This window comes from Homo sapiens, chromosome 17, assembly GCF_000001405.40.
Source record: "Homo sapiens chromosome 17, GRCh38.p14 Primary Assembly".
Classification (NCBI taxonomy): domain Eukaryota; kingdom Metazoa; phylum Chordata; class Mammalia; order Primates; family Hominidae; genus Homo; species Homo sapiens.
This window is the reverse complement of record NC_000017.11, coordinates 57,985,887-58,008,332: the sequence shown is the minus strand read 5'-3', so window position 1 is coordinate 58,008,332 and position 22,446 is coordinate 57,985,887. Positions and strand designations below refer to the sequence as shown.

General features: G+C 42.7%; 2 protein-coding genes and 1 long non-coding RNA gene across 19 annotated transcripts in view, besides 11 other annotated features; 2 read left to right on the top strand and 1 right to left on the bottom strand.

Moving 5' to 3' along the window:
* Positions 734 to 1,452: an enhancer, noted in NCBI's record as "NANOG-H3K27ac-H3K4me1 hESC enhancer chr17:56084242-56084960 (GRCh37/hg19 assembly coordinates)". NCBI's record gives its function as "activates a minimal SCP1, AML or CMV promoter by ChIP-STARR-seq in naive and primed H9 embryonic stem cells {active_cell/tissue: H9 hESC(naive and primed)}" and the evidence as "EXISTENCE:reporter gene assay evidence [ECO:0000049][PMID:30033119]".
* Positions 736 to 785: an enhancer, noted in NCBI's record as "active region_12460". NCBI's record gives its function as "activates an Ori minimal core promoter by ATAC-STARR-seq in GM12878 lymphoblastoid cells {active_cell/tissue: GM12878}" and the evidence as "EXISTENCE:reporter gene assay evidence [ECO:0000049][PMID:35858748]".
* On the top strand, positions 1,087 to 19,295 carry SRSF1 (serine and arginine rich splicing factor 1). 11 transcript variants are annotated; one of them, XM_047436527.1, is made up of 9 exons: positions 1,087 to 1,389; positions 1,806 to 1,990; positions 2,360 to 2,532; positions 2,733 to 3,410; positions 4,332 to 10,242; positions 14,685 to 14,782; positions 17,388 to 17,451; positions 18,537 to 18,684; positions 19,064 to 19,295. In XM_047436527.1, the coding sequence occupies exons 1-4, from the start codon at positions 1,196 to 1,198 to the stop codon at positions 2,925 to 2,927; spliced, it is 747 nt and encodes a 248-aa protein (XP_047292483.1). In that variant the 5' UTR covers positions 1,087 to 1,195; the 3' UTR covers positions 2,928 to 3,410; positions 4,332 to 10,242; positions 14,685 to 14,782; positions 17,388 to 17,451; positions 18,537 to 18,684; positions 19,064 to 19,295. The 11 variants fall into 11 exon arrangements, 9 of the variants coding, with proteins under 9 accessions (XP_047292483.1, XP_047292482.1, XP_047292480.1 ...); XM_047436526.1 differs by lacking the exons at positions 14,685 to 14,782; positions 17,388 to 17,451; XM_047436524.1 differs by lacking the exon at positions 14,685 to 14,782 and having other exon boundaries at positions 2,733 to 10,242.
* Positions 1,576 to 1,625: an enhancer, noted in NCBI's record as "active region_12459". NCBI's record gives its function as "activates an Ori minimal core promoter by ATAC-STARR-seq in GM12878 lymphoblastoid cells {active_cell/tissue: GM12878}" and the evidence as "EXISTENCE:reporter gene assay evidence [ECO:0000049][PMID:35858748]".
* Positions 1,896 to 1,945: an enhancer, noted in NCBI's record as "active region_12458". NCBI's record gives its function as "activates an Ori minimal core promoter by ATAC-STARR-seq in GM12878 lymphoblastoid cells {active_cell/tissue: GM12878}" and the evidence as "EXISTENCE:reporter gene assay evidence [ECO:0000049][PMID:35858748]".
* Positions 2,277 to 3,476: an enhancer, noted in NCBI's record as "BRD4-independent group 4 enhancer chr17:56082218-56083417 (GRCh37/hg19 assembly coordinates)". NCBI's record gives its function as "activates an origin of replication core promoter dependent on BRD2, P300/CBP, MED14 and CDK7 cofactors, and independent of BRD4, by STARR-seq in HCT116 cells {active_cell/tissue: HCT116}" and the evidence as "EXISTENCE:reporter gene assay evidence [ECO:0000049][PMID:35650434]".
* Positions 12,609 to 12,658: an enhancer, noted in NCBI's record as "active region_12457". NCBI's record gives its function as "activates an Ori minimal core promoter by ATAC-STARR-seq in GM12878 lymphoblastoid cells {active_cell/tissue: GM12878}" and the evidence as "EXISTENCE:reporter gene assay evidence [ECO:0000049][PMID:35858748]".
* On the bottom strand, positions 17,299 to 20,223 carry LOC101929185 (uncharacterized). The gene has a single exon (XR_001752716.3). It is a non-coding gene; the product is annotated as an uncharacterized LOC101929185 (long non-coding RNA).
* Positions 19,477 to 19,616: an enhancer, noted in NCBI's record as "active region_12456". NCBI's record gives its function as "activates an Ori minimal core promoter by ATAC-STARR-seq in GM12878 lymphoblastoid cells {active_cell/tissue: GM12878}" and the evidence as "EXISTENCE:reporter gene assay evidence [ECO:0000049][PMID:35858748]".
* Positions 19,637 to 19,686: an enhancer, noted in NCBI's record as "active region_12455". NCBI's record gives its function as "activates an Ori minimal core promoter by ATAC-STARR-seq in GM12878 lymphoblastoid cells {active_cell/tissue: GM12878}" and the evidence as "EXISTENCE:reporter gene assay evidence [ECO:0000049][PMID:35858748]".
* Positions 19,837 to 20,116: a silencer, noted in NCBI's record as "silent region_8756". NCBI's record gives its function as "represses an Ori minimal core promoter by ATAC-STARR-seq in GM12878 lymphoblastoid cells {active_cell/tissue: GM12878}" and the evidence as "EXISTENCE:reporter gene assay evidence [ECO:0000049][PMID:35858748]".
* The window catches only part of VEZF1 (vascular endothelial zinc finger 1), a 16,703-nt gene continuing 14,335 nt past the window's right edge, over positions 20,079 to 22,446 (top strand). For 3 of the 7 annotated variants that reach the window (NM_007146.3, XM_005257643.2, NM_001330393.2), the window contains exon 1: positions 20,079 to 20,254. In NM_007146.3, coding sequence (NP_009077.2) covers positions 20,222 to 20,254 — 33 coding nt within the window. In that variant the 5' untranslated portion in view covers positions 20,079 to 20,221. Of the gene's footprint in view, positions 20,255 to 20,382; positions 22,349 to 22,446 lie in introns of those variants that run through there. The other 4 variants (XM_017025018.2, XM_047436662.1, XM_047436665.1 and 1 more) reach the window with 2 other exon arrangements.
* Positions 20,187 to 20,666: a silencer, noted in NCBI's record as "silent region_8755". NCBI's record gives its function as "represses an Ori minimal core promoter by ATAC-STARR-seq in GM12878 lymphoblastoid cells {active_cell/tissue: GM12878}" and the evidence as "EXISTENCE:reporter gene assay evidence [ECO:0000049][PMID:35858748]".
* Positions 20,747 to 20,816: a silencer, noted in NCBI's record as "silent region_8754". NCBI's record gives its function as "represses an Ori minimal core promoter by ATAC-STARR-seq in GM12878 lymphoblastoid cells {active_cell/tissue: GM12878}" and the evidence as "EXISTENCE:reporter gene assay evidence [ECO:0000049][PMID:35858748]".

Genomic DNA, 22,446 nt, shown 5'->3' with positions numbered 1-22,446 from the left:
GAAAAAAAATGTAAAATGTTATCTCCCAATGCCGCAGGCAAACAGGATCACAGTCCTGAATAGCAACCGCGGTATCTAGTGGTTACGGTTCTCACATCCATTTTGCTCCATTTTATTACCTGAGAGGACCGGTATTTTCAAAACCTGGTGTATCAGTAACTTTTAGGGAAAACTTTTGAAAAAAGGACTGCACACACGCACCCTTTCTTCCTTCTCGTTCTTTGAAAGGAAACAACAGAAACGATTCATTCTGCAGGCATTCTGCGCTAGTCCCACGGACAGGCGACTAACAAGAGATAAAAAGGTGTGGGTCCCATAGGCGGTACGGTGTTACCCCTTCTGGTTGGCGGGTACCACGTTGCCGGTCGGGATACGGACCCACTGCGACTAGCACTAGGAGTGCTGACCCGAGCTATGCAAAGTTCTGACGAGAAGGCGGAACGGTACTTAATGAAGAGGATTAAGGAATCTAAATCGGTTTCGCTAAATTAGACACATCTGTCTAAGCAGCCACGGTCTATTCGCAGCAGGGGCGGGAAGACAAACCAACGCCCCAGCTCTCCGTTCAATCACCCGCAACTCAGCTCTGGATTAGACGCACCCTACGAAGATACCCGGGTTTCCGGAGCAACCGCCCGGGCCGTCCCCCTTTGGCCCCGCCTCCGAGACTCTTTCCCGCCAAAGGCCGTTATCGCCGCAGAGCATGGTGGGACAACGCTTTAGGCTAGGTTTCACCAAGTGCTTTGAAGGCGCCGAGTTGCTTTCAAAGATCCTCATTCCTGGAGAAATCGACCATCCTTCAAGACCCGACCTGGATGACTAGCTCCTTTAACGAAAGTTCGTTATTTAACTTTTACCAAACGGCTGGTCACTCTGTTCGCAAACCACCCCAAGCTGGGAACGCGGGGGACTTTTTTACCCCCTTCGTGGGGAGGGTGACGTCGCGCGTGCGTGCGCGTGCGCTGAACGTAGCCCTCGCAGCACCCGTTGCGCTCCCGCGCGTGCGTGTTGGGATCGAATCGCTGTTTCCTTCCGCTTCTCTTCCTCTGTCTCCCCCCCATATCCGTGCGCCGAGCTGATAAAGGCGCCATTTTGGAGGGGCCGCGGGAGACGTGGTGCCGCTGCGGGCTCGCTCTGCCGTGCGCTAGGCTTGGTGGGAAGGCCTGTTCTCGAGTCCGCGCTTTTCGTCACCGCCATGTCGGGAGGTGGTGTGATTCGTGGCCCCGCAGGGAACAACGATTGCCGCATCTACGTGGGTAACTTACCTCCAGACATCCGAACCAAGGACATTGAGGACGTGTTCTACAAATACGGCGCTATCCGCGACATCGACCTCAAGAATCGCCGCGGGGGACCGCCCTTCGCCTTCGTTGAGTTCGAGGACCCGCGGTGAGGCGGCATGGGGCTTGCAGCCTTGAGGAAATAGGTCCGAGTAGTTGGGGAAGGCTCCAAGGCCTTAACATAGAGAACGGGGAAGCGGGGGCTCTTAGAGAGGTTGGGGCGAGACTGTATCGCCCATGCAGGAGTCGAGTAAGGAGCTGAGTTGATGTGGCTTCTCTGGCGCCTCGCCTTGGACGTCCCCGGAGCCCATTCGCAGGCTGGAGCGGGAAACTGAGGCGCTGAGGGCTGGTGTAGTGGTTGGGAGCCTGGCGTGTTTCTGGGTGGGGGAGGGGCCATTCCTATTATGCGGCGCATGTGGGCTCTTCCACGTTGGGTGCGCATGTGCGGGGGGTTTGCTGGTTCCCAACTGAGCGAGCTTCTCCTCCTGGTGTTTCTCATCCCTTTTACTTTCTGCGATCCCGCAGAGACGCGGAAGACGCGGTGTATGGTCGCGACGGCTATGATTACGATGGGTACCGTCTGCGGGTGGAGTTTCCTCGAAGCGGCCGTGGAACAGGCCGAGGCGGCGGCGGGGGTGGAGGTGGCGGAGCTCCCCGAGGTCGCTATGGCCCCCCATCCAGGCGGTCTGAAAACAGAGTGGTTGTCTCTGGTGAGTGTACTGGTTGTGTGGATTGATGTGAAGGGACGAAAACTACCTAAAATTTTTCTCTTGCGTGACAGGTTTAATAATTGCAAATTTTTCATGCTAGGTCTTAAATTGCTTTAGTTTTTGGGTGAATTTAATAAACGAGGATTGCTGCTGTGGTGATTTACCAAATTAGGTTGCGGTACTAGATACGAAGATCGTTACAAATAATTTTGGACTCTGGATTCCAGAATCTTACCAGCTCTCTTTACCTGGTATCACTTAAGTACACCTATTAAGTACTTTAAAGTACTCTTTGTCCTAATGTACCTTACCAGCTTAACGTGAAATTTAAGATAATTGGTACTAAGAAAAAAAAAATCACTTTTTCAGGACTGCCTCCAAGTGGAAGTTGGCAGGATTTAAAGGATCACATGCGTGAAGCAGGTGATGTATGTTATGCTGATGTTTACCGAGATGGCACTGGTGTCGTGGAGTTTGTACGGAAAGAAGATATGACCTATGCAGTTCGAAAACTGGATAACACTAAGTTTAGATCTCATGAGGTAGGTTATACACGTATTCTTTTCTTTGACCAGAATTGGATACAGTGGTCTTAACAGTGGAATTTCAAGGTAAGGATTCAGGCAAGGTTGTCCAAGTAAATTGCCAGATTTCTGGTTTTAGTTACATTGTATTCATTCAGCATGTCTGAAGATAGATGAAAGCTTAGATCTTTCAATGGAAAGTTCTGTCTATCCAATAGGGAGAAACTGCCTACATCCGGGTTAAAGTTGATGGGCCCAGAAGTCCAAGTTATGGAAGATCTCGATCTCGAAGCCGTAGTCGTAGCAGAAGCCGTAGCAGAAGCAACAGCAGGAGTCGCAGTTACTCCCCAAGGAGAAGCAGAGGATCACCACGCTATTCTCCCCGTCATAGCAGATCTCGCTCTCGTACATAAGATGATTGGTGACACTTTTTGTAGAACCCATGTTGTATACAGTTTTCCTTTATTCAGTACAATCTTTTCATTTTTTAATTCAAACTGTTTTGTTCAGAATGGGCTAAAGTGTTGAATTGCATTCTTGTAATATCCCCTTGCTCCTAACATCTACATTCCCTTCGTGTCTTTGATAAATTGTATTTTAAGTGATGTCATAGACAGGATTGTTTAAATTTAGTTAACTCCATACTCTTCAGACTGTGATATTGTGTAAATGTCTATCTGCCCTGGTTTGTGTGAACTGGGATGTTGGGGGTGTTTGTGGTTATCTTACCTGGGGAAGTTCTTATGTTTATCTTGCTTTTCATGTGTCTTTCTGTAGACATATCTGAAGAGATGGATTAAGAATGCTTTGGATTAAGGATTGTGGAGCACATTTCAATCATTTTAGGATTGTCAAAAGGAGGATTGAGGAGGATCAGATCAATAATGGAGGCAATGGTATGACTCCAAGTGCTATTGTCACAGATGAAATTGGCAGTATTGACCTTATACTAAAAGGCAGGGGTTAAAAATGATTATATACATTTTCCTTAAAACACTTGCAAACATTTTATTCAGTTGTCTTTAGCTACAATTGCTTTGCTTTTTAAACCTTGGCAATTGTGGCAAAATTATATTGCCCATTTTGTAGCAACTTATTTTGCTCCCTTCCCCCCATTTTTGTTTTAATAGGGACTAATGTGGGAAGAACTGGCTAATTTGTCACAGTGCTTAGTTACAACTGTTAATGTGTGACCTGCTGTTGGTGTACATGTGGGTACAGGGTGTTTTTAAATCCAACAAGATAGAGTATAATATCAATACTGCTAAATCTGCATGTCCTCTGTGTGACTGATAGAGCGTTGCTATTTCATTTTTTTAAGACAAAATGAAAGCAAAATATAGAGTTCCAATGTATTGGTGTAGATAATCTAGTTGGGAATACTTTTAAGTCTCACCTTCCCCTTTAAACTAATATTCATAATTGGTTCATATGTTTAAAAGACTTTAATTTACAAATTAAATTGCAAATGGGAGCATTAGATTTAGTTTTAGACTTAGGTGGGTAGCAATGCCAGTAAACTTAAATTACGTAACTTCTTGCAACCACGAAACCTGTAATACGCTGTACAGTAACAAGTGTTGGCATTATCAGTTGAACTGTAAATACAAAATGCTTCTTCCAATTAGTCTCTATGATGATTAAGTTTCTAAAATTTATCTGAACACCATTCAGAAACTTGTTTTGGGGAATTTGATAGTTATTGATGTGCATCTGTTAAACTGATGACAGACATAACTCATCATTCCCCAGAAACCTTTTTTGATTACAGTATCTAACATTTTGCCTCCTCTTTTTTGGTTTTGCTGGTTATAAAGGTTTGGATTGGAGAGGGCTCACTGGATCCCAATCCTTGGAGCTGGATCATTGGATTCAAATCATAATGTGGATAGGATAGGGAGGATGAATTACCAGGATTCATGGAGCGGGATCAGATTACCAGGAACATAGGAGTGGATTCCTGCCCCAACCAAACCGCATTCGTGTGGATTTTTTTATTCAACTTAATTGGCTATTCCAAAGATTTTTTTTTTCCTATTTTTGACGATTGGAGCCCTTAAGATGCACGATGGAATTGTGTTTTGCGTTTTTTGGTAAAAGGAGCAAAGCGAGGACCTGGAGATAAACGCTGGAGCAATCTCCTTGGAAGGATTCAGCACGAGTAGATGGTAAACATTTAAAGGGGAAAGGGGGGGTTTGTTTAAAATAGTAAATCAGTAAGTCACTTCTAAATTTAAAGAAAACAAAATTGGAGTTGAAGAATAAGTAGGTTTCCAATTGGCTATTGCCGTTTTCTTTGAAAAAATAAACATTTTTTAAAAAACTATGCATGGTTGTCCTTTTTCCTCTTCATGTAAGATTCTAACTGGGTCTATCAGTTAATCTTTAAATTGTTAAGTAAGATAAGATTTTGACTCTTGTGTTAATGTGTTAGCAAATTAAAAGTTCTTAAAAGGCAATCTAATGGTATTAGCCATCTTTTATTGTTAATTGTAAAAGTCTTCAGGGGAAAGCAAAAGGGGAGAATAAGGCATTTGTGTATGTAACTTGGTAAATGACGGTGGGGGATGGATCTAGCATCTGAAAGATAAGCTTCTCTACTTTGTTATAAAGTGGTTAAAAAACTATAGATGCTGCTTATTTTCTGGTGGTCATAGACAACATAGGCTTTTGTGCAAAATTGGTTGATGGCTACTAATGTTCACTTGGAGATAGCTTTTGATATTCTCAATGAAACTCATCTCAAAAAAAGGTAAGTATTAAATGTTAACATCAGCACAGATGTATTAGAACTGTTTTTTGTTTTTGAGACAGAGTCTCGCTCTGTTCTCCAGACTGGAGGGCAGTGGTGTGATCTAGGCTCACTGCAACCTCCACCCCTGGATTTGAGTGATTCTCGTGCCTCAGTCTCCCAAGTAGCTGAGACTACAAGTGTGTGCCACCCTTGCCCGGCTAATTTTGTATTTTTAGTAGAGATGTGGTTTCTCTGTGTTACCCAGGCTGGTCCCAAAACTCCTGGCCTCAAGTGATCTGCCTGCCTTGGCCTCCCAAAGTGTTAGGATTACAGGTGTGAGCCACCATGCTCAGCCTGTAGAACTTTTAACCCAAGTCTCATTTCTTTTTTGAAAGGGAAGAGTGCACAAGATTAACTGCTTCTTTGGATGAATCATTGTTAATAAAAAGCTGGGCATTTAGAATTTTGCCTTATAAGCCCTTCTCCAACCATAAGATTATTTTGTACCAAAAACTTTGGTGTTCTCTACCAAAGCAGTTAAAAACTTTTAGCCTGCTACTTCTTGTATTTGTCTACTGACAGCCCCTTGGTACTATTTAGGTTGGGGGAGGGGACCTAAAATAAATAGACTTTAACATTTCCCTTGGGTGCTAATCATAGTTGGAAGTTGAATTTAAGGTGATTATTTGGGTGACAATTAAAAACCTAAGGAAAACCAGAAATCTTGGTAGTGGAAGAAATGTGTAAGGTCACCCCAATCGGTAGATTTTAATGAACGTTGTGGAATGTTGGGAAGAGGGGATGTTAAGTTGAATGCAGAATTTCACTAAGTACTTAGTGTAAGTTTAAGGATGTAGCTCTTTTTATCTAAGAATTCAATGTAATGGCCAAAAGGCAGATTTACTGTTTAAAAATTTGAATAATTTTACATGACATTCTTGAAATTCTAAGAAGTTTTATGTGTAGAACATTTTAAAAATTCATCAGATTATTAAAGGGAAAATAAATGATTAATGATAATTTTGGAAGGTTAATGTGAGCTAGACTTAAGTAAACTTTGGTTCATTTGTGTTCATTGAATGTTTTGGAAATGACCAAAAAATGTAAATGGCCTTCACTCAAGTTTGAGTGTTTAAAGTTGAAAGATGTGCTCTACTAAAAGTTATAGTAATTCTAACCTCACATTGAAATGAGACAGTATTCCTTGTTATACAGGCTGAATTTGAAGATTAGAGAGGATCTAATGTTTACTTAGGTAAAGGGGCATAGGTTTTGTAGTTAAGATGACCAGACAGCTAAAAGCTGTGATGGGAAGTATGGACTGCTCCTATTTATAGTCTCAGAAAATGGACCTTTAGGTCTCTATCCGTATTGGCAATTATTAGAAGAAAGTTACACCCTTTTGAAACTACAAAAGCTGTCTTGGAATTTCCCCCTCTTCTCCCTATTTATGTCCCCTTAGAATATTTTAGGGAGCCTATAATTATTTTCTAACCAAGGAAAAACTTAAGTCTCTTTAAGAAGCAATTACTTTTCATAACATCAGATTGAATAACCCACCTTGCTGTTCAGCCCACATCCTACTGGAAACAAAAGGTAAGAAACCCATTTTCTGGTTCTTGATTGTTTGGGTCTGAATTTTGTTTTTAAAACTAAGCTAAGTTTAATGTTTTTTAAAATGCTGTTTGGAATATGAATAGATTCCCCGTAAAATGATTTTTCCTAAGTTTTATGCTTTAGTAAATATTCAGTGCTCACGTCTGTGCATCATAGTGCTTGCGTTTAATATGATTTATTGTAGAATCTCAACTTTTCTTGGTGTTTGTTGTCTTTGAAACATTGTCTTGGTCATTAGGGCTGGTGTTTTCACATTTCTGTGGTCAAGGTGGATTTCTTATGTGTGCCTTTTTGCTTACTTTGTATATGAATTTTGTAATTTAAATTGCAAGTAAGTTATATATATGTATTTACCATAAATAGTATTAAAAGATGAGAAACTGTTAGACTGAAGTTCTGTTGTAACATAACCATTATTTCCATCACAGTATGAAGACTGCAAACGCAGAAAACAGATTACAGTCTCTTATCCATTTTTTGAAATCCAAAAACTACGAAAACAAAAGATTTTCTGTTGTTGAGCTAATTAAATGTGAACCCTGACCAGAATTGCTGCCTTCATTTTGCACTTAGTGTGACTAAACTGTTTCCTGTTGAACTTCATTATTCATTGCACAGTTGCCACAGACTTTGCTGAGGGTTTTATGTAATACAGGGTATATATGTACCTCATAAAGTGCATACAGCTCTGAATCCCAGATATGTCTGTCTCCAAAGAGTTCATATAAGGGATTGTAGGAACTGTACTAGCATACACAGGCCTAATGCTTTTGTCTGTAACTGGGGTGTCTTGACTGAAAAACCTGTTATTGTGAATCCTTTGTTGATTGAATTTTAAGTTCCCCCATCTTTTTAGGCTGAAGCAGCCACAAGAAAAAAAGGTATGGCCCACATTTCTTTACATTCTGTTGTAATAGTGGACTCAACAATTATATCCCATTGAAGCAAATACTCAGGCATCCTAGAGTGTACAATACAACATTCTTTTGAGTTATTGTTTCTGTATCAGTACTTAAAGGAACATTGACCAATTAGATCCTATAGGAAAAGCTGGGATTGGCATGAAGTAAAGAGATTATCAGGAAACATCTGTTCATTATGTCTATCGTGATTGTCTATTGAATGAATAGTAATGCTGCCAAAAGTAACTTGCTTTAAACAAACCCCAAGAGATTATAGTATACTTAAACCAGTACTTATTCCTGTTATTGAGACCTTCACGGTGCTTCTTGGTAGCTTTGAAAGCTAATGCCTAACAACCCTGAGGGTTCTTGTGAGCTTGTAGTGATTAAAGGAAGGATTTTTTAATTATTATAAAAATCACTCCGTGCTTCATTAATGCACAGAATAAAAATTGAATAAATGACTCTGTCATATAGAAGTTAATTTAGGCAAATATAACATTTGTAATTTACAACATTTTAATAGGTGCTAGGCTGGGATTTCAGGGGGTGAAAAGTCATTCATGACTTTTCATAAGAAGTTTACTGTTTAGGTAAGCAAAACAACACTTAGTTCAGCTTGATACTCAAGCATCGGGTTAAAAAGCATCAGACTTCTGTTACCAGACAACTTATAAGTGCCAACTATTGGTAGAACTGTGGACATGAAGATAGTGGAAACAGCTTCTCTAGGATGCTATACTCATCTCCACCAAATGCACTTTGAACAAAAACAACTTGTAGAAATAGGTCTTAATTTTTTTTGTTTGTTTGTTTGGTTTTTTTACAACATGCTGTACTGCTCTCCATTGGTAAGTGCTAGGGAAAATCACTTAGCCACTAGAGGGAGCTATAACACAAAATTAAGCAGGAAATAATCCCCATTATAGATACATAGAACAAAGTAGAGACCAGCTAACTACCTTGATCCTCTGTATCAGCTCTAAAGTTAGATGGTTTGGGTAAGTTTTCTTGCAACTTTACCTTTGTCTTCCCATCTTTTGTGTAAAATTCTTCCCCTTTTCAGCTTTTGCATCCATTTAGGTTTTCAGAGTTTACCTTACAGGCACTCATTTTGTAACAAATCTAGGTTCTGGGACTAAGAAAATACTGAAGACATAAGTCTGCTTGTTTTTCTGCCTACCTTGTACATCAGGTATGGAATAATAAGGCCATGAATGTGAGAATTGGGAACAGGAGTTAGGTGTGCTGGGGAAAACTAGACATAACAATTTGGTTATGAACTAGAAGAAATGAATATGCTTTTAGAGACCTGCAGTTTGCTTTTATGGAGTGACAGTTTCAGGTGTGATGATCTTCTCAGTATTACTAAGAGGTTCTTAAAGTTTGTCTTAAAATCCTACTTATGTGTCAGCTTAGCTGTTTTCTATTTTCTAGGCCTCACTTAAGTAGCAGGTTGTCTTGTGATCAAAAAGTCAGTAGACACAGTAGTTAATGCCATATTAACAGCTGAAAATTACTGAAAATTTAACACTTTTAGTATCTGTCATTCCCATCACCGCTTTCTCCCCAGGTTTCTTTTATAAAAAATGGAAAGGACACAAACTTGTCTCCTGTTTACAGTATAAATTGTCATTGAGAATACTAAACCTTTTAGGCCCATATGATGGGATTTAGTCATCCAGAAGACAGGTGTGGGACAACTGGCCTTAAAATGTTAATTTTAGAAAATCAGTCTGTTTCAAAGAATAAAGCACTAAAAGTGGACAAAGTGGACTTCTTGTGGGGGGAAAAGTAATCAAGTTTACACAGTAGAGATTTCCCTGCCTGCTAAGGTAACACTAAGTAGCAAGGAAAGCTACAGAAGGTAGTTACTGTTAACTAGTAGTCTTGCTGCAAATTGGATTGACAGCTGAAAGGGCACTAACTAGATTGAAGCCTGTCTTTAATCCTGTAAATGTTAGCTCTGGTGTCCCTTTGATAATTTTTAAATAACTTTTGAAGATGCACTCTGAAGCCACAAATTAGGCAAATGAAAATTCAGAATTCTCCTTGTAGAAAGAAAAGTGCTAAACCTGGAGATTGTAAAGTGCTAAGAAAAACCATGGTAGAATTGTTCCCTCAGGTGCTGTGTATTAGAGGAGGAGTCTTTATATGTCATTTTGGGATAAGCTTTCAACAATTATTAAGGCTTAATACATAAGATTATAGGATCAGTCAAGCAAAAGGGAAGGTATAACCTTTAGATAGGACTGGGAAGTGCTGGGTGAATGTCTTCTACCCTTAACGGTGGTAGAAATTTGAACTATAAAATAACACCAAGAGTGACATTCACATTTTTTTTGTCTTTGTTTTTGACACAGGGTCTCACTCTGTCACCCAGGCTGGAGTGTAGTGGCACAATCTCGGCTCACTGCAACCTCCGCCTCCCGGGTTCAAGCGATTCTCCTGCCTCCCAAGTAGCTGGTATTACAGGTGCCCATCACCACACCTGGCTAATTTTTGTATTTTTCATAGAGACAGGGTTTCACTATGTTGGCTCAGCTGGTCTCTGAACTTCTGATCTCAAGTGATCCGCCCGCCTCGGCCTCCCAAAGTGCTGGGAATACAGGTGTGAGCCAGCGCACCTGGCTGACATCCACAACTTAAGGCTAGAAATGTAAAATGTTGGTTCGCAGTGTAACAAGCACATTCCAAAGAAAACTCAAATGGCTCCTTTGTACTCTAAAAATAGTAAATTTGCAGCAAGGTGATAGTCAAGTTCTGTGTCTTCAGGGTGCCACCGCATCTATGATTTAGATTAACCTAGAGATGTGTTTACTTGCCAAATAGAGTTCTTCAAGATGCTGTTTGGATTTGTCTTCCCATCTCCAGTTGCCATATCAGCATTTTTGTCTGTACCCAAATTCATATTACTGAAGTGTTAAAGCTGGTTTCAGTGACTCCAGATCCTTAAAACATGTCACTCCCTTAATATGAGTTAACAATGGGTTATATTCTACCTTTCCAATTTATCCTGTTCTCAATCACATCTTCCCCTACCCTGGTTGATTTGGTAAATACATGTATTTTTTAACTCTACAGACCCAGGAACTGAATATATTTATATTTCCCAATGAGCTAAATGCAGTGCTGACAGTTTTAATATTGATGGGCGAGATGGGAAGAATTTAGTATTCCCTAAAAGCAAAGCACTGTAGAAGTCTGTTTCACAAGCTATTCGTTAACTGGGTGGATTATTGGAGAAGGTATTTTAATACTAATAACTCCTCAGATGTGAAGCCAGAAAATTTGAATTAATCTAAATGCTAGCCTAAGTCCAAGTATAATTGGATAAGTAAATGTTGCTCCCAGAATTGGTCTTGCAAAGTAAGACCAATTGTAAGACCAAAGTAAGTGGTTTTGATGTAAGCTGTGCACACTTTCAGTACAGATCACCAAGAATTGATGACATTGTCTCCAAAAAGACTAAATAGTTGCCTCCTAGGTATCCTTTTTCAGTCATTCTCTTTTAAGCTTCTTACAGAGGAAGCTTTAAGTTGCCTCAGAATTTAGTGGTATTGCCTCAATGAGAATTCCTGCATATTTCTCTTTGGGATGGAATCATTTTGGTTGTTTTTTTGTTGTTGGTAACTATTCATAAAGAGATTAATACATAACGATGTATTGTGAAGAGACTAGATAGCATGTATATTATTCCTTGGGTTGGGAGTCTTAAGCATTAACTTTAGGACCCTGACCCTGGTCTTTAGGTTTATAGGATCAGCTAGCTTAAACAATTCTCTCAAAACCAAGAGACCCAGCATCCATACATTTTAACACCCCACATCATAAATCCCATAAGCAGCCCCATTCCTTTTGCCATTAAAAATCTCACCCCTTCATGATCACACCTAATGACTGAAGCATTCTTGAACTAATTGCGTTGTTTCTTATTTGCTTTTCTTCATGTTTTAAAAAGTGCTATATGTGCAGGTGGACATGTTGCCCTTAAGCTGTTCTCTAGTTTAATGTGTATGCTTTGTTTTCTTCAGCTACATAGTAAACTGAGAGCAAAGGCTGTTTTTTTTTTTTTTTTTTTTAAGACAGTGTCTTGCACTGTCACCTGGGCTGGAGTGCAGTGGCGCAGTCTCGGCTCACTGCAACCTCCACCTCCTGGGTTCAAGCGATTCTCCTGCCTCAGCCTCCCAAGTAGCAGGGATTACAGGCACCTGCCACCACACCTAGCTAATTTTTTGTATTTTTAGTAGAGACAGGGTTTCACTATGTTGGCCAGGCTGGTCTCAAACTCCTGACCTCGTGATCTGCCCGCTTCGGCCTCCCAAAGTGCTGGGATTACAGGCATAAGCCACCGCGCCCGGCTCCCCAAAGTCTTATGTTTTAAACTTTTTGACATTTCTTCTAAGATGTCCAGAATGCTAGTACCTGCACCTTAATAAATGTTTGTGAATAAATACATTATTGAAATCTTAGGCAGGTGTGCCACATAGCTTAAATCTGAGACACTGTGTTCTTTAGTCAGATCATGCATATTCTTAGAATAGTAACCTCAAAGGTTTATACCCTTGCTACCTTTTTTATATTTTTTGTAGAGACAGGGTCTTGCTCTGTTTCTCAGACTTTTTGAACTCCTGGGCTTAAGCAGGCCTCCCACCTTGGCTTCCTAAAGTGCTGGGATTACAGATATGAGCCACTGCGCCCAGTCCTGATACTGTGGCTCATTTTAATTCTCACGTAGTATTTAGTTTCATTTTGCAGTTTGAAGAAATAGGCCCAGAGATGTTAAAGGGGCAGGCCCAGAACTTGAATCCAGATCTTGTGGTGAGAAATTCTTGTTTTACTATCACGTTGCTTTTTAAAGCCAGCCTGCTTTTTCCAGTTGGGAGGCCTCGGGGAGAAAAGTCTGACCCAAGTGAGAAACACCTGTAATATCTACCAGATGCCAGCAGGGTGTCCCATGGTGCTGTCTTTGATCCATGTTCTTACCCTGTGTGCTGAGGGTTGTTCTAGAGTAGGACTACATCTAGTCACAGTGGCCATGTTCCAGAGCCTGGCAGCAAGAAAGAGGGATGCCTAGCTCCTTGGCTTTCCAGTGTGCAGTGCACAGCCAGCTCTCTCAGAGAAGCCCTGGCCCTCTTTTGACCCCTACTATTGAGGCTGGCCCCACAGGAGGACAGCTGGTCACACAGTGGCTGGGGCCTGGCTAGCCACTCAATAACTACACAGCAGCCCCACAAAAAAATCATAGAAAAGAACCTGTGAAAGGGTAAATGTTTAAAACATCTGCATTTGTGTTGATAGCTGAGTATACACTTAAATTTGTATTAGTAACAGATCCACAAAAATGAACCACTCTAGGAATTTTAAGTTTTAAAAGCCAATGTGTGGTAACTTCCAGTTTCCAATAAAAATGTTTGCATTACACTTAGCCTACACATACTATCTCTTAGGTATCAGTTTTTGTATTCAGCAACCCTAGTTGGTAATCTACAGTGTCAAAACTATCACTTATATGAAAACAAATGAGCAAATAGCCCTTTAAAAATTTCCTTTCCCAGTGCTCGTTACGCACTTTGTACAAATGTCTGTAACTGTTTTATAATTATTTCTTTGCAAGGCTTGGTTTCTTCAGTAGAGAAGATTCTTAGAAGTATCCCCAGTGACAGTACAGCTCCTGGCATTTAGTAGGTGCTCAGTAATTATTTTACTGAAATACTCATGCTTCCATAATAGTTCTGGGATAATTCTAAACACAAGCCATTTTTCTAAGGAGAGTCCACATTAGAGAGGTCTTTGTTTTGTATTCAAGATGATTAAAATTATGAACTGGGAAGTTAGTCCCTGGGGTGTCCTGGCTGGCCTTTGGAAATCTTCACTACATCTTTCTGGGTTGGAATTCTCACCACAGCCTGAACGTGGGGCTGTATCTGAGCTGTCTCTGAGTGCTGTCCATTTGATATATCGAGTACTGGGTGTTTACCAGGGCTCTTCAAGCCACTGGGAGAAACAGCTAAAGAGTAACCTACTGATTTGAGATGTGGATTTGTGCCCCATCCCTTTCTCCTTGTTTCCCACAGGAGTTTTATCTCAAACTCCTAAGCCATTTTTAAGGAGATCACTGGAACAAACTCCAAACCTACCCTCTAATAGTCAAGTTTACCTGAATTTTCTCAGTTCTCTCGGGAGAAGACTAATCACACATTGTAGTACCAACTTGGACTCTTCATGTGCTTTTCTTAACTGATTAGAGTTAACACCTCAGCTAAAGTGTATAGAACATACATGGGGCTTCATCAGGCTTCAGAATCAGTTTCACTAGATGTGCTATGTAGGAGGCCACGGAAAAATTACTGTAGTAGTAAAAGTTATCAGTTCTGATGTAAACAATCATTTTGTCCCATATTATAAATAAATTGGCCTGAAAATATCTTTTCATATGTGAGGAATAAGTATATGATGCCTTTCTCCTTTAAAGTATGAACTGCTAAAAGACAGGGATAACGTGTATTCTGTATTCCAGCAGCCACAGTGTGTTTCTGGTCTTTGTACCAGGTGCTCAGGAAGTGTTTTCACTGGCTTGGGTTGACTACTTGCCATCTGCTCTCTGAGCATTCATTTCTGAATGAAAGGGGAGAAAGTGAAAGGAGAGGTGGGAAGAAAGAGGAAGCTGCAGAAATACGAGGAAACAGCTGGAGGAGGGAGGTGAAGTTGAGGAGGTAAGGTCAGTAAAACAAAAAGCTAGCAGAGGGCAGGGTCAGGCCCTTGGGGTAGAGGGCTAATTAACTTCTGTCAGCTAGTTGAATAGAGCCTTGTGTGCTTTGTTAGAGACCAAAGGTACTTCAAAGGAAAAAAATCTAGATTCTTCCCTGTGTACCTTAATAATTGTTCATCAGGTCAAAATCTATCCTGTCCTCTAGGAATTCTGGTCTTCCCTCAGGCCTAGCAGAGAGCTTTCTGCCACTACTCAGGCAACCAAGGGTGAAGTGCTTCAAGTAGTATTTGTGGACAGCAGCAGGTAAGCTTGATGTGTTATTCACAGCTTAAAGAGTAGATGCTGAGTACAGCTGTTGTCCATGTGTAGAGCTTTTAATAACCAGCGCAGCAGGCCCCTTCACCTGCTTTTATGCCTGGACCAGATGACTGAATGTAGAACTTTAGGCACTTTTTTTTTTTTTTGAGACGGAGTCTCGGTTTGTTGCCCAGGCTGGAGTGCAGTGGCGCAATCTCGGCTCACTGCAAGCTCTGCCCCCCGGGTTCACGCCATTCTCTTGCCTCAGCCTCCCAAGTAGCTGGGACTACAGACTCCCACCACCATGCCCGGCTAATTTTTATATTTTTTAGTAGAGACAGGGTTTCACCGTGTTAGCCAGGATGGTCTCAATCTCCTGACCTGGTGATCCACCTGCCTTGGCCTCCCAAAGTGCTGGGATTACAGGTGTGAGCCACCAGATCGGCCCTTTAGGCACTTTCTACTTCTCAAGGTCAAGAAACATCCTTTAAAAAGTTAATTCCCTTTTCTGGAGCCTAAGCCAGATCTTATCTAGGCCTTGTGTTGCCATCTGTTAGCATTGATTTCTGGAATGGAGCAGCTTTCTCAAAGTTTGGTCTTGCTAGTCATGAGGTCATGTCAGTGTCTTAGGTCACTGCTGCTCACCTTCCTTACCCAGGGAGTATACTGCATAGGTTTCTGAACACCTGTTTTCATTATTCACTGTTCCTCTCACTGCCAAGAATGGAGGGACCCTCAGTTGAAGATCAAATTGACTCTGAAGAAAAACTGGAGATGTTTCTCTTGGAGTTTGGATAGAGTATTCACTTGATAACATGTTTTTCCCCTGCCTTGCTCTTCACAAGAACATCTGGCCAGGCATTAACAATTAGTAAATTTTTTTGCATATGAACAGTATTTTTCTGGTCATGTAGATGGGTGCACATGACACTAAACAGCATTGTTTAGTGTTATCCCTCTTAACTGGTGGGTTGTATTTGGGGTGGAGGCTGTAGCCGAGGAGAAGACATTCACCTCTGTACTCGAGAAACTTTGTGTAGGAATTTAGTTTATTTTTTTATTTTTTTTAATTTTTTATTTTTTACTACTTTTACTGTTAGCACAATGCTATAATTGAGCTAATCTTTGTAGTTTGGTGCAGGACCACCAAGTTTGTGTGACCCATTACCTACTTTTTCCATGCTCAGCCATTACCCTGTCCTGGGGCATCTGAGGGCAGTAAGGAACAGGTGTCCAAAGGAGGAATGTTGGTGCCTATGAGTATGTTTTCCAGTTGTATTGAATTTCTTACTTGGTGTATTTTTGACTTGTCTTAGTTTCTTTCCTTGTGGTCTATGCTATTTTACTTGCGATTTGTTGGATATTCTCCCTGTCATTAAAGAGTTGTAAAATGGAAGTTAGTTTCTCTATGCAAATGCTTTAATGGATGAAGCTGATAGGTTTAGCATTGATTTTTGCTGGTGTCCTTCAACAAGCATGAAGGTGATAAATGTGTTTCCATGGCTTTAGACTCATTTTTGAAGTCTTGGATTGTGTGAACATTCTTAGAAACAATAAAATGTTTTAATTAAAAGCCCTCGACTACCAGCTGAATTCAGTGTCTACTAGGAAAATGGGTAGATTTGTTACATTGTCCCTTTGCTCTCTATGACTTTGTTCCAGTTGTCAAGGAACTTAAATGGGTATTCAGGAAAAAGAATTCTTGTTTCCCTTTCCTCACCTTGCCAGTTAAATAACTCCTGGTGACACTTCAGGTGGTAGAATTGAAACACAAACCTGACTTCTGACCACATGGGTCAAAGGCAAAAGGCAAATGGCTTCAAAGCCCTTAGTGTGCTTATCCAGTTCAGGCAGTGAGGAGATAACCTCTGCTTTCCTCCCTGAGGAGTTTGGAGTATTTAAGGGGGGATGGGGGGGGTGTCACTTTGAAAATATGTTGCTTTTTCTCCTGATTGTATTGAGGCTGATATGGAAGGGTTATTTCTTTCTGGCCAATACTTTTTGGTATTTCTAAATATTGCAATCTTGATTTTTACTATTAAATTTGTTAATTGTCAGTTCTGGCTTTTTTGCATAAAGAGTTGGTCCATTAACTTGCCAATTTGAAGCTTCTAACTAGATATTCCCTACTGAAAGTTTTGGATTTGTTTTTAGTTTGTGGAGCAGTCTTAGCTGGGGACAGGTAATTGACAACGGCAGAGATACTTTCTTTTCCTAGGATTCTAAGTCTGTAATCCACATCCTCAATGTATTCACAGGACTTTAAAATTCTCTCCAAATGAGGAAGGAAATATCCTGTTGCTTTCTAATGTTTACTAAAAGTTGTGTTTAGAACAACAGATTTTAATAGGCATCTTCCTTTGTTATGTGTCATTAGCCCTTTGCCCGTTTACCTTAGGGCTCTTTGAAGGAGAAATGGATGGGAGAAAACCTGTCACTTGGCGAAAGTAAAAGGGATAATTAACTGGCTCAGAGCTTATGTGCAGAGTTCCAAGCCCCAAAGTTAATCTAGAACCACTCGATAACACCAATAAAAATATTTATTTCACATCTGTTATATATCTGGAAAATGTTCTAAGCATCTTACACATATTTCTCATTAAATCCACAGGTGACCATTGTGAGGTAGATATTTTGTTCTAATTTTCCAGATGAGGAAGCTGAGACCCTAAAAGGTTAGGTGACAGGTTATACAACTTGGAGTGTGGGAGGAGGAGAGAGGAACCTGAACAGGGCAAGTTGGGGATCTGACTTTTGTTTGGGTAGATGTAGGCACATTGTATTTTTGGCTTAGATGCTTTATTCATCATGGCTGAAGGTAATACCATTTACTCACTCACCGAAAATTGTTTACAATAATCTAGATGAATTTGCTGTCTTTGGACATCTGTCTTTTGACTGGACCCCAGTATATAGTCTGTGGAAGCTCACTTAAGGAGAGAGCTCCTTTTTGTTTGGTTAGAGAAATTTTCTGTCCTAAAAGTAGAAATAGCCCCTTCTAGGTAAGGATGGAGCATTTGATCATACTGGTTTCATTATATTCCTCTAACAGTTGGAACCGATTGTTTTTGAGTACTTGTTTCAAACTTCTGAGTATTTTCCTTCTGGAAAATAGCTCAGTGTTTAAAATTTACATGAACTTAAAAGGTTAATTTTTTTTTAAAGAATGTTTGAGGAGCAATCAATTCTGATTTTGTCTTATGGATAGAAATAGAATTAGCCATTTTCCTCAAGAAAAGTGATTCTTCTGAATCTTAGCTTTTCAGTAATGAGAACTGGACTGTTTCCACTTGACCTCTATTTCCTGTTAGTGGGAAACCGCTTCCCAGAGGTGCTGTGTGAAAGATTGCTGGGGAAAGGGTTTCTAGATCCCAGCATAACAAGTTCAAGAGTCCAGCGATATTGTCATTAGAATAATGGTCTTCATTAAGTACTAGTTTTCATAATCCTGAAGCTTCATTTTCACCAATTTGAAAGGCAGCTAGGGAGGAGAAGACTATGCAGGGAAGGAGGAAAACTCTGGAGTGCATCACAGAGACCTTGAGTGAGTTAAGGCAGGGAAGAAGCAGATTTGCTATCCACTGAATGAAAATAAGAAGAATTCCATTGTCCAAGGTCAGAGCAAGAACACAAAGGTTTTAGTTTACTTAGTTAATTCCTTAGGTTTGGACATTACAGGAGACATGGGGGTGACCATAGCAATTTAGCTGATAAATGTATCAGAAACTCTTTCATCATTTTCTGTCCCCTCCTATCTTAGGCTGACCGGTTCCCTGATGTGTTACCTGCTTCTGCTACTGATCCAAACTGCAGAACTTCTCATTCATCCCCAAGGCCTCCAGGCAGTATCCAATGGGGAATCAGCTCTAAAAGGAACCAGACCAACGTTTTCCAGCCCCTTCATTCTGGTGACTGAGGGGAGGAAAGAATGGGAGGGGGTATTCTTGTCTAGTGGATGGAAAGGAAACACACTGTCAAATTACTATATCTCCTTGGTTTTCTATTACAGTAGAATTCTCCAGCCATATTTTTATTGTCTATGGGGGAAGTTGGAGATGGTGACCTTGATTAGAAGTGTCTGGAGGGGGATAAATGGAGGGGATAAGATTCAGTTGGTTTTGGAAAATGTTAAAGTCTTAAAATAATGCGTCCATCTGAAGAATTTTTTCTAAAACCAGAGTTTATAAAAATATCACTGATACAGCCTGCCCCCTCATTTCCCTGCCACAGGAGATGTCTTGGACTAGAGACACTTGTTTAATAATAGCTTGTCTCTGATATTCCCAGTAGCTTCCCTCTGTGTGAGGAAAGGATAGAAATGTTCAGGACATCATCATACAGGCTCCTCATCTACAAAGTTCCAGTAGCAGTGACGCCTACACGGAAGACTTGGAACTGCAAACAGGCTGGGGTCACCTCAGTGACATCTGACGCTGTCCAACCAGAAGTTCGATTTTTGTTCTGGGGGTGAAGGAGGAAACAGACTGTACTAAAGGACTAAAATAATTTGTCTATACTATCTCACTTGTTTTTATTTTTGGCGGGAGAGGAGGGGTGTTGGGATAGAATTTCACATCCTATCTTGGAGTGAAGGGGAGGATGGGGAGGCTCAGCCCTTCACCCAAGAATAACCCAGTAATGACATCTCTACGCGTGGGAAGTGTTTCCCTCCACACTGAGAGGATCTGAGGCTGCACCCCAGTGGGATTCCCTGCTTGAGTTGGAAGGCCATCTCGCCATGAGATGCATATCATAGCGAGAGCGCAGAGGGCTTAGCCGGCCGGGGAGGAAATGCCAAAAGGAAGAGAGGCTCGAAGTCGAAAGGGCTTCCCCCAGTTTGGAGGTGGGGACCATGCTGTGCATGAGCGACTGAAGAGCCGAGTGTCCGCCGTGGCCTGTGCCCTCCGCTGAGGGTCTAACAGGGACGCGACGGTGCTGGACACCGTGTCTGAGTCACGGGAGACGGCCCAGCTGTGCCCAGCGGGCCAGCGCCAGACCCTGGCGTCCTCCATCTTCTCTCCTGAGCTCCCCCTGCTCCAGCTGCCTGAGCCACGGACCGCAGCACCACACACCCCCGCGGGGGGGGACGCCGCGCCCCATCCCCGCCCCGGGCCCCACCCCAGCCCCCCCGCGGGGGCCCTGACCCCACCGCCAGCGGGCACTGGCTGAGCTCCGAGGCGGCGAGCCGGCAGCGGGGACGCCCAGAGGGGGTCCGGGCGACTGGGGGCGGCGGCGGCCGGGCCGGGGCTCCCCCCCCGCCCGCGCTCGCCGCCGCGGTGGTGCGTCCCGGAGGTTACCGGAAGTGGCCGCGCTCGGCGCTGCCATGTTGAGGAGCCGCCGCTGCCGTTGCCGCCGCCGCCGCCGCCGCTTTGTTGTCGCCTCCTCCGGCTGAGGAGGCTCCCCGAGCGGGGGGAGTGGGGAGGAGGGGGGTCGGCCGCCGCAGCCATGGAGGCCAACTGGACCGCGTTCCTGTTCCAGGTACTGGGGGCCCCCCCGGGGGGGCACGGGGGGGACAGGGGGGCCGGGCCCCGGGCTGGCGGGCGGGCGGGCGCTCCTCCTCCCCTCCCTCCCGGCTCCGCTCTCCGGCCCGGCCTTAATCCCCCTTTGTTTTTCCGCCCGCCCGCCCCGGCGAAGCGGGGCTGCTGAGGTGAAAGGAGGCGGCCTCACGGGGTGCGGGGGAGATAGCAGGCCGCGGGGTGAACCCGGGGGCCCCCCAGCACACACACGCACACACACACACTCACACACACCCTTCCCTCTCGCTCTGAAGGGGAAGGGAGGAGGCCGGTCGCTGTCACCACCCCGCGGCCCAGAGAAAGGAGGGCGCCGGGCCGCTGGATAGCGCGGGCTGCTGGGCCATTGCGTGCCGGCCCGGTCCCCCACGGTGGGGTGAGGAGGTCCCCAGGTCCTGCCCTGAGTCTCCTCCCCGCCACTTCATCCATCTTTCGCTTGTTCTCTTTTCACCTTCCTCGTCTTTTTGTGTGTGTGCGTGCGTGTGTTGACTTTCTGACCCCCTCCCGTGTCCCCGCGAATAGCGGGTATCCCCAGGTTCCCCGCCACTCCCCCTCACCGCCACCACCCCTCTCGTGTTTACCCAGTTGGGGGGGCGGATGTTGTGAGTGTGTATCCCCTCCCCAAACTTTTTCACTGGATTTACATTTTTTTTTCCCAAGTCTCAGCCGAGCCTTGGCAGCTGACACCTTCTCCCTCTGTCCAGCTCTCCCGCCGTCCCATTCAGCCTGGGGAATCCCCCAGCCGGGCCGGCCCGGGGCAGGCGGGGAGCGGTGGGGGCCGGGACTCCTGGAGGCCCGACCTTCTCCCGAAGCGCTTTTCTTTCTCGCCCACCTCGAACGTTTCCTCCAACCAAGTGGAGAGAGCAAACAAAGTCCGCTTACAAAGCCCCCAGATGAGTCACTCTCTGGGATGTTGGTCTTCGCTTTTTTGCAAGAAACTTGAAAGTGACTGTAGCCGATGTGTTTTGGCAATTCTCTTGCCCGCCCACTTTAGATGGGGGACCCCTGTTTGGCAGATCTAGGCTGGAACTTATTTTTTTCCTACTTCGTTTCTGTTTGCAAAACGAAGCATTCAGTGGGCAGTAGCGATGAGCTCACGGGGAAACTTCGGAACTGGAGGAGGTTAGGAAGCTCGTCACTTTTAAGTGCGTTCTTCCCGCCTCTCTGAGTTATTTTCCTTTGAATACTTCGTGAAATCCCAAACGCGTAGCTGGGGCGCTTGATACCTTTTGAAACTAACAGGAACGGATGCAGAATTTTCAAAAAATTATTCTCCCAGCCACTGGATTCATCCTAGTGGAGTTAATATAGAGAATTGGATAACTCAGAAATTACCTACTGTGTAGACTGGCCTGTTGTTTTAAGACATATTTTTTCAAATGTGGGCAATTTGATCTTTAAGTAGTTATGGAAATATATTTGGGCTTCTTAAAATCTAAAATACCCAACATTATGGAATTCATGAACTTCCCCCTTTTCTCATTCTGATCAGTGTTGTTTTATTGTACTTTGATGAGCTTGCTAATAATGTGATAAACCAACTTGAAAATGCATTGGAAAAGAAATGATATATAACTAGCATGCATCCAGGTTGGTGTAAAGGTGGCAAATACTTTCCCCAGAAAAAAGCTCAAATGGTTATTTTAAAATATGGGATTGATGTGCCACTGAAGTGATTTTCGTGTGATTAAAAACCATATTAAGCATGGTGTCTATAGAGATTGAAAAAAAAAAGTGTTCTTCATGTAAAGGAAAAACCCATAACACATCTTTGGAAAGCTGGTTGAAAAATCTTTTGAAATACTTTTTTAAAGATTATTTTTCTCCTGGGTAAAACAAATGCCAAGCGTTTATTGATCAACTTTTTAATTAGATTTTATATTATTTAATTTTTTTCAGCTATTAAAATCTTTTTTTCCACCTGATGGAGAAGTGTGAAAACAAATATTTAATCCTGGGCTTGGCAATGTGTGCAGTGAAATTTGTTGGAAAACTTAAAATTTAGAGCCGAGAGCAGTTGAATGGGTAAAGAGAATATTTCAGTCTTTTCTATGGAAAGGTATGAATAGACTTAATCAGTTCTGGTTTTAAGTAATTTTCACTGGGGATATGGAGTTAAATTATCTTGTTTGTTTCCTGGAGCATCCTGTTGAATTT

Excerpts from the sequence above, each read along its gene's own strand:
- SRSF1 (XM_047436526.1), top strand. The coding sequence starts at position 1,196 with ATGTCGGGAGGTGGTGTGATTCGTGGCCCCGCAGGGAACAACGATTGC. Across the intron at positions 1,390-1,805 it reads GTTGAGTTCGAGGACCCGCG|AGACGCGGAAGACGCGGTGT; the intron begins GTGAGGCGGCAT and ends GCGATCCCGCAG. Across the intron at positions 2,533-2,732 it reads CTAAGTTTAGATCTCATGAG|GGAGAAACTGCCTACATCCG; the intron begins GTAGGTTATACA and ends TCTATCCAATAG.